This window comes from Homo sapiens, chromosome 1, assembly GCF_000001405.40.
Source record: "Homo sapiens chromosome 1, GRCh38.p14 Primary Assembly".
NCBI lineage: Eukaryota > Metazoa > Chordata > Mammalia > Primates > Hominidae > Homo > Homo sapiens.
This window is the reverse complement of record NC_000001.11, coordinates 10,271,071-10,288,733: the sequence shown is the minus strand read 5'-3', so window position 1 is coordinate 10,288,733 and position 17,663 is coordinate 10,271,071. Positions and strand designations below refer to the sequence as shown.

The 17,663-nt window shown below is 39.3% G+C and overlaps 1 protein-coding gene across 5 annotated transcripts in view, besides 2 other annotated features; it reads right to left on the bottom strand.

Moving 5' to 3' along the window:
• Positions 1 to 17,663, bottom strand: part of KIF1B (kinesin family member 1B) — a 171,034-nt gene that overhangs the window by 92,870 nt on the left and 60,501 nt on the right. For 3 of the 5 annotated variants that reach the window (NM_183416.4, NM_015074.3, NM_001365953.1), the window contains exons 8-13: positions 17,155 to 17,232; positions 16,428 to 16,493; positions 13,231 to 13,306; positions 12,335 to 12,413; positions 10,606 to 10,748; positions 6,201 to 6,334 (exon numbers count right to left, since the gene is read on the bottom strand). In NM_183416.4, coding sequence (NP_904325.2) covers positions 6,201 to 6,334; positions 10,606 to 10,748; positions 12,335 to 12,413; positions 13,231 to 13,306; positions 16,428 to 16,493; positions 17,155 to 17,232 — 576 coding nt within the window. Of the gene's footprint in view, positions 1 to 6,200; positions 6,413 to 9,595; positions 9,638 to 10,605; positions 10,749 to 12,334; positions 12,414 to 13,230; positions 13,307 to 15,702; positions 15,721 to 16,427; positions 16,494 to 17,154; positions 17,233 to 17,663 lie in introns of all 5 variants that reach the window. The other 2 variants (NM_001365951.3, NM_001365952.1) reach the window with 1 other exon arrangement.
• Positions 5,372 to 5,421: an enhancer, noted in NCBI's record as "active region_145". NCBI's record gives its function as "activates an Ori minimal core promoter by ATAC-STARR-seq in GM12878 lymphoblastoid cells {active_cell/tissue: GM12878}" and the evidence as "EXISTENCE:reporter gene assay evidence [ECO:0000049][PMID:35858748]".
• Positions 9,377 to 9,577: a silencer, noted in NCBI's record as "peak66 fragment used in MPRA reporter construct". NCBI's record gives its function as "represses an SCP1 promoter by STARR-seq MPRAs in K562 erythroleukemia cells {active_cell/tissue: K562}" and the evidence as "EXISTENCE:reporter gene assay evidence [ECO:0000049][PMID:32103011]".

The following is a 17,663-nucleotide window of genomic DNA, read 5'->3' as shown; positions in this document are numbered from 1 at the left end:
ATTTAAAATAAAATTTAAAAAAAAGAGAAAGATGAAGAACAACAACAACCAGCAAAGGTAGGCAAAGAGCAAAACAGATTAAAGAAGGAACCTGGGCATCAGTAAGGCAGCCATGTAGGAGGTACTTTTTCAGAAAAGAGTTATACTTACAAGGTGGAAGAAGCTAGAACAAGTCTGCAGTTGGGGGTGGCAAGTGACAAAAACCACCTGAAATGGCTCTCATTAGGCTTCAGAACACACACAGAGGCTCAAAGGCTAAAACAGCTACCTGAATGGCATCTCTACACAGTCCTCAGCAGAAATGATTACCATGCAGTGCACATGCCGCCCCACAAATGGAGAACAAAAGTGTCATACTAGAGGGCCAGCGAGCAAGACAAATCCACACAATTCCCTAAGGAGTGAGAAGGCCAAGAACCAAGTTTTCAATAGTTTATCTATAAAGCACCACAAAAGTTATTCAACAACCACTAAGAGTGGTGTTAAACGCTTCTGCATAAGTGAGCTATGACTGCACCACTACACTCCAGCCTGAGCAACACAGTGAGCCCCTCTTTAAAAAAAGAAAATGCTTTTGCATATGACTGCTTTTTTCCTTTTTTTTCTTTTCCTCCCAGCCCCACCCTGCATATGATTTTAAATAGGCAAATACAAGACAAGCTGATGATATAACCTACATAATTTTAAGGTCTATTAAAGATAGCTGGGTAGAAATCTATACAATCTTCTCAAAGTGAAAACCTTCAACAGACAGGACAACAGGATGCACCCGACCTAAACAAGGCATCTTGACTAGTACTTATTATAGTACTAACCACAATAAACCACTGTTGATTATGGAATACAAACTGACATATGAGATATTTTAAAAATATTTCTTCCTAGTTGATTACCTTCAGAAAAAGGTTATTTCAGAGCAGAGGATTATCTAGTCATATTAAAGCCATCCTATTTTGGGGCAACTGTAGAACTCACTCTAAGAAAGCAAAATTACTGTCTAGGAATCCTCTTACCATTTTGCAGCCAACTCTAATATGACTTATCTAATTTTACTTACCAACTGAAGGGTAAATCAGAACATGATCTCTTTGCAGAAAAGAGATTTAATGAGTAAGGTACAACTTTTATTTTTATTACAGTTTTCAGCTGCAATTTTTAGGTTGTCTAGAAAGCTATTTTTAAAAACTTTGGGGGAAACTTAGAGAAAATAATAACTGTGAGTCACATTAGCACAACTTCAGGGCTGAAAAAAGCCTGCAAAATCGTTTATTCTGGAACCATTCACGAGATAAGAAAACTGGACCAGAGACAAGAGTTCAAGATCAGCTGGCTCACATGGTGAAACCCCATCTCTACTAAAAATACGAAAATTAGCCGGGCACAGTGGCACGCACCTGTAGTCCCAGTTACTTGGGAGGCTGAAGCAGGAGATTCGCTTGAACCTGGAAGGCAGAGGTTGCACTGAGCCAAGATGGTGCCACTGTGTTCCAACAGACCAGAGAAGCTAAGTGAGCCCACACTACTCACTGAGACAGGTCTAGAGCTATTTGCTGACTCACTGTTCTTTCTTCAAATAAAACAGGATCAATAGGCTTTCAAGTAAATGTTCTATGAAACAGTTCACCCTAAGTTAAGAAAAAGTGAAGGATATTCTGTTCAAGCCTGAGTAGCAAACTTAGTATAAATAGGGAAGCCAAGTGCAAAACAGCATTCAGTCTCAGGAGCATCAACTCATTCTGCTGGCAGGCAGGCATGCTGGTGTCCAGGGCTTCCCATACCCCACTCTAGGGGCCTAATGTAAGATGAACTTGAAATGTGGATTCATGGTTCAGAAATGAGGGGTTGAGGAGATAAATCTTTAATCCTCCTCCCTTTCTTTGAAAAAAAAAAAATTCCAAAAAACAGAGGGACACCAGGAACTCTTCTTTAAGCTCCGAGGAATGCCAGGCTCAGGTGTCATTCACTCTTTGGTCTCACGTCATATCTGTCTGCATCTCTAGTTATTTGTATAGCACTGGTTAATAAATTATGTTCATATAGCTAAACAATTTAATCTCTTCTTGATGATGATTCAGTTAAGGAAACACAGAAATCACCAGGACAAGTCAGAAATATTTCCATGAAAAACACTTACTACACAGAACATTTGTTGAAGCCATTGAATCACCAAGGTTTTACTGTACTGAACATAGCATGCTTCCTAAGTGGGTTCCAAATGTGGCCCTTGGGCTGCTTAGCACAGCATTTGCCCTTGCCTGCTTCTGTAATGGATATTTGTGGATATTTATAGGCTAAGCCTAAGCAACGGCACTCACAGTACTGACTGTGATGCCAGACTAATAAACACGAGAGCTGTGGCTACAGCTGCATGTTTAAAACCTTATTTGACAGGAAGACCTGGCATGGTGGCTCATGCTTGTAATCCCAGCACTTTGGGAGGCCGAGGCAGGCAGATCACCTGTAGTCAGAAGTTTGAGACCAGCCTGGCCAACATGGCGAAACCCCGTCTCTACTAAAAATACAAAAATTAGCCAGATGTGGTGGTACATGCCTGTAATCCCAGCTTCTCAGAAGGCTGAGGCAGGAGAGTTGCTTGAACCTGGGAGGCGGAGGTTGCAGTGAGCCGAGATCGCGTCACTGCACTCCAGCCTGGGCAACAGAGCAAGACTCTGTCTCAAAAAAAAAAAACATCTTTACAATGGTGTGACATGAGTACCTAACATATGGAAAAAGGCTATTCAGTGAACAAAGCCACAGCAACATCATGTGTAAAAACAGTATCCAATCAACTGACCTTTTTTAAAGTCAAAAAGAAACAAAGGGAAATAAAATGTTAGGAAAATAAACTAACCTCCTCTATTGCTGTTTTCCATTATAATATTTTTCTCCTGCAGCACCATGCCTTAGGAACCCAGTTCCTAGATATTCTCAAGCATTTCTACTGCACAACCATTGCCCTGGCGCTACGGATGAAAGATGTTATCTGCGTGCAGCATTAAAATGCAGGTCTGCCCGAAAGAAATTCTCACCATTCACAAAATAAGAGCAGAACTAAGGTGCTTATGCTTCAGTGAACTACCACACTGCATTAAAAACTCAAGACAACACAAAACACTAAGGAAGCTGTTTTCTTTCTAGAATAAAACTAGGGAAAACAGAAGAGTTCTTTATTTTGGCGTAAGGAAGAATTAAAACAGAGAAATTTGTTTTCTGATTGAAGTAATACAGTTTTGTCTTGCTTTAGTGGGACATAGGGAAGTCGGAAGGAGAGTTCCCTGAATAATGACAGTGTTATTCCCTAGAAATTATTTGGAAGACACTGGGTTACCTGAATCTTGAAGAGTCTGGTTAATGTCTTGACTCCTAACATGTGACATTATTTTCAATTGGTCCCACTTGGCAGTTAGGGAGAAATTTCTCCTTTACATCAAGAGGAAGGTCAAAGGAAAGGGTAATCTCAAGTGTAAGAGCTAAGGCTTTAATAAGCAAATAGTTAAGACTTAAGATCCCCAAAGAAAAAGAACATTTTATATTAAGGACTCAGTAAGTGGGAGTTTTACTTCTCATTCCCAAGGAGCTCCCTATTTCTCACTCTGGCTCTGAAAAGAGCCCTGCAAAGCAACATGGTCACTGACGCCTATTGTGAGAAAATGTGTGAATGGAGTCTTACCACTCCTCTTCACTAAGGTCTTTAGTAAAATTTCAAAGTCAATTTTACCAACAGTAAAAGTTACCCTGCAGCCTACAACATTTAATGGAAAGATTTCTCACTCCTTCTCCCTTTGCTAGGTGTTGCAGAACTTCACTCACTTTCCACTTACATGTTCTGAAGGAAGAAACAAGCACATTATTTTTGTTTTTGTTTTTTTTTTGAGATGGAGTCTCACTCTGTTGCCCAGGCTGGAGGGCATTGGCGCAATCTTAGCTCACTGTAACCTCCGCCTCCTGGGTTCAAGGGATTCTCCTGCCTCAGCTTCCCGAGTGGCTGGGACTATAGATGCACGTCACCATGGCCGGCTAATTTTTCTATTTTTATTTATTTATTTTTTGAGACAGAGTCTCACTCTGCCGCCCAGACTGGAATGCAATGGCGCAATCTCCAGGCTGTGCAACCTCCGCCTCCCAAGTTCAAGTGATTCTTGTGCCTCACCCTCCAAGCAGCTGGGATTACAGGCGTGTGCCACCATGCTTGGCTAATTTTCTTATTTTTAGTTGAGATGGGGTTTCACCATGTTGGCCAGGCTGGTCTTGAACTCCTGACCTTAAGTGATCTGCCTGCCTCAGCCTCCCAAAGTGCTGGGATTACAGGCATGAGCCACTAAGCCCGGCTTAATTTTTTTGTATTTTTAGTAGAGATGGGGTTTCACTGTTGGCCAAGCGGGTCTTGAACTCCTGACCTCAGATGATCCGCCCACCTTGGCCTCCCAAAGTGCTGGAATTACAGGTGTGAGCTACCGTGCCCGGCCTTATTTTTGTTTCTAAAGCATGTTTTTTTGAGATAGAGTCTTGCTCTGTCACTCAGGCTGGAGTGCAGCAGTACAATCACAGCTCACTGCAGCCTTAAACTCCTGAGCTAAAATGATCCTCCTGCCTCAGCCTCCCAAAGTACTGGGTTTACAGGTGTGAGCCACCATGCCCGGCCCACACTGTACTTTTGAAGTAAGTAAAATGTCAAGGGAAAAGGTAGGCTGATTAAGAAAGAAAAAGCAGAACCTCTTTCTTCATATAAAATCTTTTTCAGCCTCACATGAAAATTAAAATGAAAGCATCTGACATATTCAATTATCAAGCTTAATTCACTTTAGTGTTAAAGAGTTTTTCGGCAAGCCTTTTACCTATTAAATGTGTCAATGTGTCACTGTTCTCTATCGTCCTTGCATGAATGGCAGTCAAGGGGAATACCAAGTGACTGTGAAGAAGACTGCTGGCTGGCAGCATGACTGCAACTTCTCAGACTCTTAAAAAGTGTTTTTTGTCCTCCCTGTGTCCCCTACCCTAGCACTCTTGAACACAATGGCTAAAAGGTATGGGTCAAACTATCTTCCTGGAGGTGACAAGTAGGGAAAGAAAAAATATTTGCTTCAAAGCAGATGATGCTGTCACAGTCATCTGATGGGTGGCAGGATTCCTGAACAGCTTTCAGCACTGCAGGTGACAACTGTCTGTGCACTGAATTAATTGAGGAGGAAGAGAAGCAGCTATGAGTCAGAAGGCTCTGCTGCTCTTAACTTTCATATTCATACAAAGAGATAAGATCGAACCTGACAGAGCCAGCAAGGGGCTGGGAAATACCTCCAACAGCAAAGCTGGGAGCCATAGGCCAGTAATCTGCATACATGCAGCACTATGGCCCTGTGACCCCATGGGTACCAGCATAGGAGGAGATAACCTTCCTGTACAGTAATCATAGGGCATCAAGGCTTTCTGTGAACTTCTAGAAGATATAATTTAATAACTATCTGAATAAACCTGGAACAGCTACTCAAATGTTCTAACTTTATCTTTTTTTTTTTTTTTTTTTTTTTTTGAGACGGAGTCTCACTGTGTCCCCCAGGCTGGAATGCAGTGGCACGATCTCGGCTCACTGCAAGCTCCGCCTCCTGGGTTCATGCCATTCTCCTGCCTCAGCCTCAGGAGTAGCTGGGACTACAGGTGCCCGCCACCACGCCCGGCTAATTTTTTGTATTTTTAGTAGAGACAGGGTCTCACCGTGTTAGCCAGGATGGTCTTGATCTCCTGACCTCGTGATCCACCCCGCCTCGGCCTCCCAAAGTGCTGGGATTACAGGCGTGAGCCACTGCACCCGGCCCAAACTTCATCTTTATTAACAGAAGCATGGCTCTACACAGAATTCCATCTTTCAATGAAACCACGTTTCCAAATAAATTTCTAACAAAACAATTACACTGTAACTTGATGTACTATCCCAGAATTAACGTACACATCTATTAATCTGTTACTCTGCCTTGCCAGCCTATGAACTGCCCATGCACTTCTCCCAACTCTGCCTGGCCATGTCAGACTCAGGCATTCTAATGAAAAGAAATTAACTTACAAAGCACAAAATTCAATTTTCAGGACACTTCTAAGAGTCAAAGAGTTCTCCATATGCTGAGTCGAAATCTTAGTGATTTTTACTCCTAGTTCTTCCTTGTGGAGCTACATAGAATACCTTGTATTCAGTCTGAACTATTACTTACCTTTAAACGTTCAATAGCTTCCTCTCCTCCAGGTGTAGACATGATCCTCTCTTGAATACTGGTCACAGACGTCAAGCCCACCTGACTACTGAGTGAGCAGGAAGATGGGGATGAAGTGAGGGACCCCATGGATGCTGTGGAAAAATGGCCAGGGCGTTGATTCTCAGAGGCTAGCAAGTATCTATGCTTATTGTTCTGAAAATCTTTCAGATCTGGGAGATAGAAAGAAGAGAAGGCAGGAAAAGTAGGGAAAAGGGAAAGAAGCAGAGGAAGAAAAAAAGACAGGAAGGAATATCGTTGTAAGAAAGGACAGCATTAAAGCGCCAAGACCAAGACACGCTATAATACAAACACAGGTTACAACTGTTCTAGATGGCAGTTCTAAAACATGTCTGTCTTTAATAGTGGTATCCTACAGGTTCAGAATCATTTCTGCATTTACAAACTAAAAGATTCCAATGTAGGTTAACGCTGTATCTCGCAGGGGGATAAACCAGAGCCTCAAAGGATACTGCTTAGGCACTCTCCCTAAAAAAGCCAAACTACCTTCCATTTAGTCTTTCTAGTGTTCCTAGTCTACAATGTCTTCAGATTTACACTTTTCCAGTAGTTTGTAACAGTAAGGGAAAACAATGATCATTTATTTATCAATAATAATCCATATTGGTCTGGCTCAGTGTTACGTGTAATTCAGCAAAAATTTCCAAGAAAATGTTACAGTTAAAACAAAATTTGTGCACTGAGTAGTATGCTTTGTATGGCAACATTTCAACATGCTAAAAGGATTTTTAATATGTCTTAAATAAAAAAGGGGTAATTATAGAAATGAGAGGAATTTTGTATAAGTCCTGGTTAAAAACTCAGGACTAATTGATTGCCTCAACAGGGAAGAACAATTAGCAGATTAATGAGTTTTAGTGCAGGTTCCATTCTTCTGTCAGAGCAAGCAAAAAATAAGGCTGATTATTTGCTAATTTAAGGCCCTTAATTAGCCTAACAGTACAACCATGGGTCACTGCTAAGCCTGCTTCCTAGTATAAAATGCAAGTTTTAGGAACATACTTCCATTTACTAAGTCTTTAATAGAACTGTTAATTTTGCTTTTACACTCAGTATTGGTAAAAGAAAAAAAAATTAAGCCACAAACAACAAAATTAATTAATTTGCTGTTTGTACTTTCTTTCATTACTTTCTTTCATTAGTCATCCTTTGCAAAAAGATACCAAAGGTAAATCTTAAGTATTGGTGCAATCCAACTTTAAAATTAGCTTATTTTTAAACCTGAGAAACTAAAATTCATATCAAAACTAAGTCAGTTTTCCTCAAAGGAGATGAGTCAATACACATAGCTGGAAAAAAATACTATTAGTTCTCCCTGGGCTTACTCATCTCTACTATTTAATTAAAGCCAGTTTTTTAACTCCCTTAAAGCCAGTGGTTGCTTCAAGACAGTTTGAAAACCACCATCTGCAAATACAGAACATAGGGCAACAAGCAAAGAGGCATCTTTTAAAAGGGGGATAGGGATTAGAGCAAAAAATTAGCCATTGGGAGAAAAGACCAGGATGGACAGAGTTTAGGTCCAATGGTCACATGCAAGCCCTAAAAGGAATAAAGAGAAATAGATCAAAATGGAAACTGAGAAGGAGTCAGGGCTGCTTTCCCTCAGGAATACAGAATTAAAACTTAGTCATGCATGGTCTTTCAGGAAATGCCGCAGCTGCTAAGAAAAGAGGTAGGCAACAAGCTGGCAGCAGCAACACCTTGAGCACAAAAGCAAAAAGAAGAAGGCACCTTTTCCACACCAGTATCGTTGAGCTTTGGAAATCTCAGACAGAGCTGTTGCAGTCCAAGAGTCACTTCTGTATCAGGACATTATAGTGCCTTTAAGCCCTAACCTCATAACCACAGCCAGGGCTATGTTTGGTTTCTCCTATGCATTTTCTCACTGTCTGCCAAGCCTCATTACATGCCTTACTGTAGAAATAAGCAACTCAGGTGGCTGGGCTTGATGGCTCACACCTGTAATGCCAGCACTTTGGGAGGCCAAGGCAGGAGGATCACGAGGTCAAGAGATTGAGACCATCCTGGCTAACATGATGAAACCCCATCTCTATTAAAAATATAAAAATAAGCTGGGCGTGGTGGTGCGCACCTATAGTCCCAGCTACTCGGGAGGCTGAGGCAGGAGAAATCGCTTGAACCCAGGCAGCGGAAGTTGCAGTGAGCCGAGATTCCGCCACTGAACTCCAGCCTAGCGACAAAGCAAGACTCCATCTCAAAAAAGAAAAGAAAAAAGAAAAAAAAAGAAATAACTCAGTACAAATCTAAAAATTAGCCCCAAAATCAAGACATTTTTCTTCTAAGATAACAATTTCTTGATGAATTACCTTAAAAGGGTAAGAAATAATTTCCTCACCAACTTAAGATATATGTGGAGAGAATAATGAGGTTCATGTGACTCTTTAAAAATGTTTGAGTCATTTTAGACACCTAAGTTATTTTAATTTGTGACTTATGAAAAGAGGAATGGTTGGGTGTGGTGGCTGACATCTATAATCCTAGCACTTTGGAAGGCCGAGGCAGGAGGACTGCTTGAGGTCAGGGGTTCCAGACCAGCCTGGGAAACACAGCGAGACCCCTCACCTCTACAAATAAAAAATTAAAAAATTAGCCAGGTGTGGCAGCGAACAACTGTAGTCTCAGATACTCAGGAGGCTGAGCTGGAAAGATCACTTGAGCCCAAGAGTTCAAGGTTACAGTGGGCCACGATCATGTCATTACACTCCAGCTTGGGTGACAAGAGTGAGACTGTCTAAAAAAAAAAAAAAAAAAAAAAAAAAAGGAAAAAACGTTTATCTAATCATTCCGAGGCCCAAGTTATGGAGAAAAGCAACTTAGCACAAGCACTCATGAGTCTTAGCCCAACATCTACAGAGCTCTTAAATCATAGATAGTTTTGCTGACTAAAAATGATTATTGGTAAAAGGAACATAATAAAATATTTTCAGAGCCATTAACAGAATTAAAAGGGACAATATATTCAAGGTGCCTAGAATAGGGCCTGGCATATTATGCAAAATCAGTAAGTGTCAGTTGCTATCATCTATGATTTTTGGATTTAATTGAATCACAATGGGAAAAACTGAAGAGTAGAAGCAGCAAGAGATTCTTAAGCCTTTCAACTTCACTCAAGCCACAAACTGAAATTCAGCAAAGATTAGTTTGCTAAATGAAGAAGGGCAAAAATAGGATCATTTCTGATTCTATACTATGCTCTGTCTGGGATTTCCCTGTAAGGATTGCCAGCATGCAAAGCTTATTTTAAGGCTGATCCAGCAGAGGCAGATTAGCAAGTCAGAGTACTGGAAATAACCAATATGTGAAATACACACATTTGCTTCCACTTCCAGAGTAATCATCGATCAATGGATCAACTGAAGGTAAGCAGGAGGGAAAATACGAGAAGGGTCAAAGTTCAGGTTCAGCAGTGACACAGAGAGGGAACAGAGCAGTTTTTGGCATTTGGGGAGATGGAAAAGTTAATACTTAGAATACGGTATCATTTTTACAAACGGTATTCATCTAAACTCGGACTCTAATCAATAAGAAGAATTAAACTAGAAGAGGCCTTGAAAATCTTATTAGAACTTCAAGGAATATAAGTTTAACTTTACACTAAAAAAAAATGCTTTACTAAACTAACCCATATTCTACCATATTCTATTCCTATATGAATCCATTTTACTCACTTAAGAGAACTTCTGAATAAGCCACTGGATAGGCACATCACGGAGATTTTTTAAGATAAATTTTAATACAACATTGTAAAACAATACTCTCTGGAAGTGTAGTTCTTGAACTTCATAGGAATTGAACTTTTCCCCTTCATATGTTCATAGGCAGCACGGGGCACTCCAGCATTTTACAGGAGGAGGGGGCCATTCAAAGGTGAATCTTATCTGAAGGTAGGCTTGAATGGTGCGTTTCTTATATTACTGCCACGACACTAATCCAGAGCAACCCATGAAACAAAACTCAAAATTTCAAATAACATTTCTATGAAGTAATTAATTGCTCAGTGATAACAGGTTTAACGTTCCAAATAAACTTCATTGCTGATCTAAAACAGAATTCTAACAAAAATACTAGTGACATATTTGCGATTTAAAACTAATTTCCTGAGTTCAAATGGATAGTCTGGTACACATTACATAAAGGAATCTAGAGATCATTTCCATTGGGTTTTTTAAGGAAAAAGAAAACAAAACAAAACAAAACATTTTCACTACCATTTAGCTTCATCATGCTCCTTAACTTGAAGTTTATTTTAAATATAAGAACGCTGAATAAGAACCCTGAAGAAGAAAGGATTAGATTTTGTAACGATCCTTAATTCACTTACTATCAATAATATCTCCCAGGCCCTGAGCACGAAGAAGGTCCTTCAGCCGTGTCACCTCCTCCTTTAATTCACGAACCAGTTTGGCATTGGGGTCCTCATTGATAACAGCATTGCATTTAATTTGTTTTGCACGATCTGCATATCTAGATCCAAAAAGAAAATTTGTTCTTGTCATTTCTCATATGTTCTACTTCTCATAAGTAACATACTATTATCTCTAAATCAAATATCCTGAGTGTTTACATTTTATGAGCCTTGATAATAATACATTTGTATAAAGCTTTATAGTACCTATTAAAGATGAAGAAAAAGGCTCAGATGAATTTAAGTGATTTGCCCAAGATCACAATGGAAATAACAGCGAGAGGACTTAAACCCAACTTATGAGACTGTATAGTGTTTATTCCATTACATCAAGTGTCTTTCATGGAAGAAGGGTAGAGAGTTCCAGACTAAAGTAATGAAACCTACTCATACATAAAAAAATACAGGCCTCGGGAGGCAGCTCACACCTGTAATCCCAACACTTTAGGAGGCCAAGTGGGGAGGATCACTTGAGGCCAGGAATTTGAAACCAGCCTGAGTAACCTAACAAGACCCCCCATCTCTACAAGAAATTTTTAAAAATTAGCCAGGCCTAGTGGCATGCACCTATAGTTTTAGCTACTTGAGAGGCTGAAGTAGGAGAATCACACGAGCCCAGGTGTCTGAGGCTGCAGCGAGCTACAATCTTGCCACTGCACTCCAGCTTGGGCCACATAGCAAGACTCAAAAACAAAAACTAACAAACAAAAAAAACTTTTTATGAACATTCTGTTGGTAATTGTTTTTTTCTTTTTTTTTTTTTAAGAGACAGAGTCTCACTACGTTGCCTGGGCTGGCCTCAAACTCCTGTGCTCAAGTGATCCTCCTGCCTCAGCTTTCCAAGTAGCTAGGACTACAGGTGCACACCACTGCACCTGGCTATGTTGGTAATTTTTTAATATTGCTACATATTCCTATAATTTTATTACTTATTATGACTTCAGAATTTATTTTTTTTTTTTTTTGAGATGGAGTCTCGCTCTGTCTCCAGGCTGGAGTGCAGTGGCGCCATCTCGGCTCACTGCAACCTCCGCCTCCCAGGTTCAAGCAATTCTCCTGCCTCAGCCTCCTGAGTAGCTAGGATTACAGGTGCATGGCACCACGCCCGACTCATTTTTGTATTTTTAGTAGAGATGGGGTTTCATCATGTTGGCCAGGCTGGTCTCAAACTCCTGACCTCAAGTGATCCGCCCACCTCGGCCACCCAAAGTGCTGGGATTACAGGTGGGGGCCACTGCGCCTGGCCGACTTCAGCATTTCTATAACGACAAACACTACAAGAAGGGGGACACTTCTTTTTATAGAAATGAATAAGAAAATGTCACTATTACCTAAAAGTTACCCAAAAATCTCACTTGAGCAATTTAAAAATCTTTCCTATGAAAAAGCTCCTGCCTTATCTAGGTATCCATGAGGGATAAAAAAATAAAAAGTTCATATCTTTCCCAGTGAAACTGAAAACCATAAAGAGGTAAATTCTATTATAATACAAATCACTTTTTCCCTAAGTTTTCCCTGTTATGAGAGGAAAGGAACATTATTTACATAAATAACTACCCAGATAGCATAAAAACATCCATGGTATCACAAAATGGCTTCTGATGGCAATGTGGTCTATGTTGTTACTGAGATCAAAAGAAAGTACCTCAGAGTGCTCAAAGTCTCATCGTAGTTGATATCCGCGGGGCTCAGAGCAGCAACCATTGCAGTCCGAGAATTGCCACCTAAAAAGATTAATCATGAGTATCAAATCACACTCATTTTAGAAGAAAAATTTTATGGAATGTGTCAAATCTGATATTGTAATCTCAGATCCTAAGATTTAATGTAATGTCAAATTTCTTTCTTTTATTTTTTTTTTGAGAGGGAGTCTCACTCTTTCACCCAGGTGGGCGGATCACCAGAGGTCAGGAGTTCGAGACCAGCCTGGCCAACATGGCAAAACCCTGTCTCTACTAAAAGTACAAAAAAATTAGCTGGGCAAGGTGGTGTGTGTCTGTAATCCCAGCTACTCGGGAGGCTGAGGCAGGAGAACTGCTTGAACCCAGGAGGCGGAGGCTGCAGTGAGCCAAGATTGCACCACCGCACTCCAGCCTGGGCAACAGCACGAACTCCATCTCAAAAAAAAAAAAAAAGTAGGAGAAGTGAATGAAGAACAGTGATTTGAAGGTCTGAAAACATCAGCAACGAGGAGGATTAAGGGTTGGCAATGTCTAATTTTGTGCACCTCAGAGAAGCATGGAGTTTTGAAATAACTTCGAAGAAAGAGCAATAATCTGAAGCAAGTATGGGGAGTCGGGAGGACAACTACTGCACAGTTCATGCCCTGAAGAAAATGAGATATGGGAGTATACCCTGGCTTAAAACCAAGGGAATCCAACCAACTGAAATTAGGAGTAAAAATGAAAGCAGGCAAGGAACACTCAAGTAGTAACATGAATATCTAGAGATTATTTGTCTCCAAAACAGACACAGGACAATTAACCACAAAAGATAATCAAAGTTAAAAAGATAACTACTTTTCACTAGTGGTCAACATACCTAAATTTTCTCGAAGGAGCCAAGTAAGTACAGAATCCCTGTAGGGAATAAAATCTGTTTTCTTCTTCTTTTTACTCTATTAAAGGAAAAGAAATGGTCTTAGCATTTTTCGTTAGGGAAAAAAATTCCCAAGAAAGGCAAATCAGTCTAAAATTCCCAAGTAAATTAAATTACAGTACAACCCCGACACTGTGGAAGTTTATCATTCATAGTTTCAATTCTTCACAAAACCAAAAACTCACGCAACAAGGTAATTTTTTCATTTTACATTTTATTTTGAAAACTGTGTAATATACACAACAGTTGAGAGAGCAGTATAATGAGCTACCATACCCAACGTGCAGCTTCAACCATTACCAAAATACTCTGCCAATCATCTTTCAATTATCCCCCAAACACTTTTCTACAACTTATTTTCCTGACCCATTTTGAAGTCAGTTGCGGACCTCATCTCCATTTACCCCTAAACACTTCAGCATATAAGAACATTCTCTTACACAGAAAACAATGACCAAATTCAAAAAATTAAACATCAACACAATACTATTACCTAATATCCTGTCCATATCATTTTTTATCCTTTTTCTTACTGTGAAGGAAAAGGTCATGTTTTTTAAAAACAAAACAAAACACCACAGGACCATTATCACACTTACCAAAATAAACAATAATTCCCTAACATCATCAAATACCCCATCCTCAATTTTTATTTTTGCACAGGGGAAAATACTAATCTTGTGCATTAAATAAACAATAATTCCCTAACATCATCAAATACCCCATCCTCAATTTTTATTTTTGCACAGGGGAAAATACTAATCTTGTGCATTCCAGGTTGGATGTGTAGGAGCAAGTCATCTAGTTAGTGAATTTACTTGGCCAACCACCATGTCATTGGTTGGGTTGTTGCAAATCTAGTAACTCTTGTAAAATAATATTTATTTGGTCTCTTTGAAAGGAAATTATGCCAAAAATAATCCAATTATTAAAGCAAAGACTAAAAGTAAAAAGGTCTAAGAAAGAGATATGATTTGGTAATTTAGAAAGATGAATGTTCTATTAAGTCTACTTATTCTGCTTTCTTCATGATCCTTCTTATTACCACAGGACAAAGCAAAAAGCACCAATGAAAAGGCAGTGCTTAAATGAAAAAAAATTATATTCTCTAAAAGTAAAAATTAATGCAAATGCTTTACAGGTAACAGCTACTCAAATATATGCTGGCTGACTACTGCGTTGTGACACTTTAAGAAGATATTAAGGGGAGGCCGGGCACAGTGGCTCATGCCTGTAATCCCAGTACTTTGGGAGGCCGAGGTGGGTGGATCACTTGAGGTCAGGAGTTCGAGACCAGCCTGGCCAACGTGATGAAACCCCATCTCTACTAAAAATACAAAAAATTAGCCGGGGGTGGTGGCGGGCACCTGTAATCTCAGCTACTTGGGAGGCTGAGGCAGGACAATCGCTTGAACCCAGAAGGTGGAGGTTGCACTGAGCCGAGATCGTGCCACTGTACCCCAGCCTGGGCAGCAGTGAGAGACCTGGTCTCCAAAAAAAAAAAAAAAAAAAGAAGCTACTAAGGAGAAAGCCAGGGTCTCACTGCTAAACACCACTCCAGCAAATCAGCAGTTTTATAATTCAGTCCTGGTATAATCCAAGGTTAAACTAAGGATGATCCTACTATTGCACAAGCACTTTTTCTATTCAGAAAAAGGGTACTACATGGCTGGCCTCTTAGTGGCTAGTCTTGTGGTGTTTGTTGGGTTTTTTTTTTTTTTTTTTTTTTTTTTTTTTGAGGAGGAGGAGGAAAGGGAGTAGGCAAGAAACATTTTAATTCCATCTCTTATTAAATATGTCCACATCATCATCATCTCATTCCACTCTACCCACAGACACACAATCCACCAATCAGAAAGTCATTTCCAATAGCAGGTTCAATTTTAGATTGCACAGACCTCAAGGGAGAATTAAGCCTTTCAGTCATTCAGATTAGTGGAACAAACTTTCACTCCACTATGTAATCCTTGAGGCCTAAAACTTCAGTTTAAAACCCGTGAATAGTTGGGACACTATGGGCACGCGCTACCACACCCAGCTAATTTTTGTATTTTTAGTAGAGACAGAGTTTCACCATGTTGGCCAGACTGGTCTCAAACTTCTGACCTCAAATGATCCGCCCGCCTTGGCCTCCCAAAGTGCTGGGATTACAGGCATGAGCCACCATGCTCGGCCTTGTTCCTTTATTCTTAATTCCTTCTCCAAAGCATATCATGTTCTAGAAATTAATTTTGGTGTGAAACCTCATGATTTGTGGTCACCCTAAATTTACAGCCACTCTAAATTCCAGAGCCAGAGAACAAATGATGAAAAGATTTTTGAAGGTTCCATTCCTACTTATGCCTCCATACATCCTAGTGAGGATTTAAAACATAAAAGTCAATTCTAGTTTATCTCTACCAATCCCCACTGTACCTTGCTAGTGCAGTTATCCTACAGGTGAAAGCATTTAAAGGAGAAAATAAGAACACAGGATAAGCCTCCAAGTAGAAAATTAGATTTTGTTTAAATTTCATGTCATAGATTATGATTTCTCCAAGGCAAGCAAGAAAGCATTTCATTCTTCTTAGCAATTAAAAAGAGGTTTTAAACTAAACTAGAACACACAATGACTAATTTAAATAATGTAGACAACAAAGCCCCTAATTTAAAAAAAATAGTTTTAGTTTTACTGTTCTACCATAAAGGAGTAGGAAAGAACAAAACTATTGGGGGAAAAAAAAAAAAAAAACTACTGGCCCTCAAATCAACAGCATTCACCAAAGCCAAACTGCTCAAAATACTCCAAAAGATACTGCATCTTACTCAGAAAAGATTATACAGGAAAAGAAGAGACAATAAATATACTTGGTTTTTGTGAGAAACATAAAATAAGGCTCAAAAAAATGAGTCAAACCTTCAGTGTTTGCTCTAGTTTTTACAGATCTATATTTACTTTTGTTCTCCTTAGTATCTTTTACTTTCAGTACAAAGTCAAACTGTGTTATACCTAGTATCTTATCTGAAAAGCTCTAAAAGGAGAAAGGCAAGATTACAGAAAAGGGCCACAAAAAGACAGCCTTCATAAACAATAATAAAATATCATCAAGTATATTTGCTGAACAGACACAACTCCCCTTATAATGAAGTATAAAACTTACCACCTCGGCCAAGGCTGAAATGACTTTGCCCAAAGTTGTAAGAGACTTATTAATATTTGCTCCTTCCTAAAATAAATACCAAATATGAAAGAATGATGAAGAATTTCTACTACTGCTATATCATACAGAACATAAAATATGATTTGCCATATGCTAGCATATTTCTTTATTACAAGTTCTAAAAACAACCTTTAGTCCTCCATCTGTCCTCTTTTCCACTTGATAATAACATGCTGAGACCACATGCCTAACTCACAGTCCTGAAGTATCTTCGAGATATTTGTGCTCCAAAAGCTTACAGATGTGTGCAGCCTTCTTCCCTCAACTTATCGACATGAAATTTCTGTTCTCACATCTGAATCTTGTATATCCTATTCCCACTGCCATCTCTTAATTCCATCTAGCCAAATTCTACCTGTTCCTTAAAATGCAATTCAACTCTCACCCTGACTATGATGTGCTCCCTAACTATTTAGTTAGATAACTTATCCTTCCATTGAAGTTACAGATCAGGAGTCAGCAAAATTTTTCCGTAGAAGGACAGACACAAATTATTTTAGGTTTTCTGGGCCATACGGTCTCTGTCACAACACTGCCATTGTAGTGCAAAAGCAGCCATAGACAATACATAAACAAATGTATGTAGCTGTGTTTCAATAAAATTTTATTTACAAAAACAGGTAGTGGCCATTTATTGATCAGGCCATTTATTTGCTAAAATAAATACCTTTAATCGAGTCCCTTTGGCACCAGTTGAATCAGCTCGTTCACTTCCTGCTAGATCCACCAAGCTGATTTTACTGACCTGATAAAGAACAATAACATGGGGGCAATTCAAAAATAAGCAAGATAGAAGCAGGAAATATTTAGAGGCAGAATGCTTTTTAAAAGATTAAGGTATGGAAAAAACTAAAAGTATTAGAGCTTTTAAATATGGCACAAAAAGATCAAGACAACATCTATCAGTTAGTTTAAACAGTACACACGGCAGGTGCAATGGCACATGCCTGTAGTCCCAGCTACTCAGGAAGCTCCTTTGAGCCCAGGAGTTCAAAGCTGTCTGCTGCACTCCAGCCTGGCAACATATAACACCCTTGTGTCTCTAAAAAAAAATTTTTTTTAATTAAAAAAAAAAAGAGCATGCACAAAATTCATAGCAATTATCACGGTTCAAAAAAAAGTAACTTTAGGATAAACATGACATAATTTACTAGAGTATGTTATAAAAATATATAA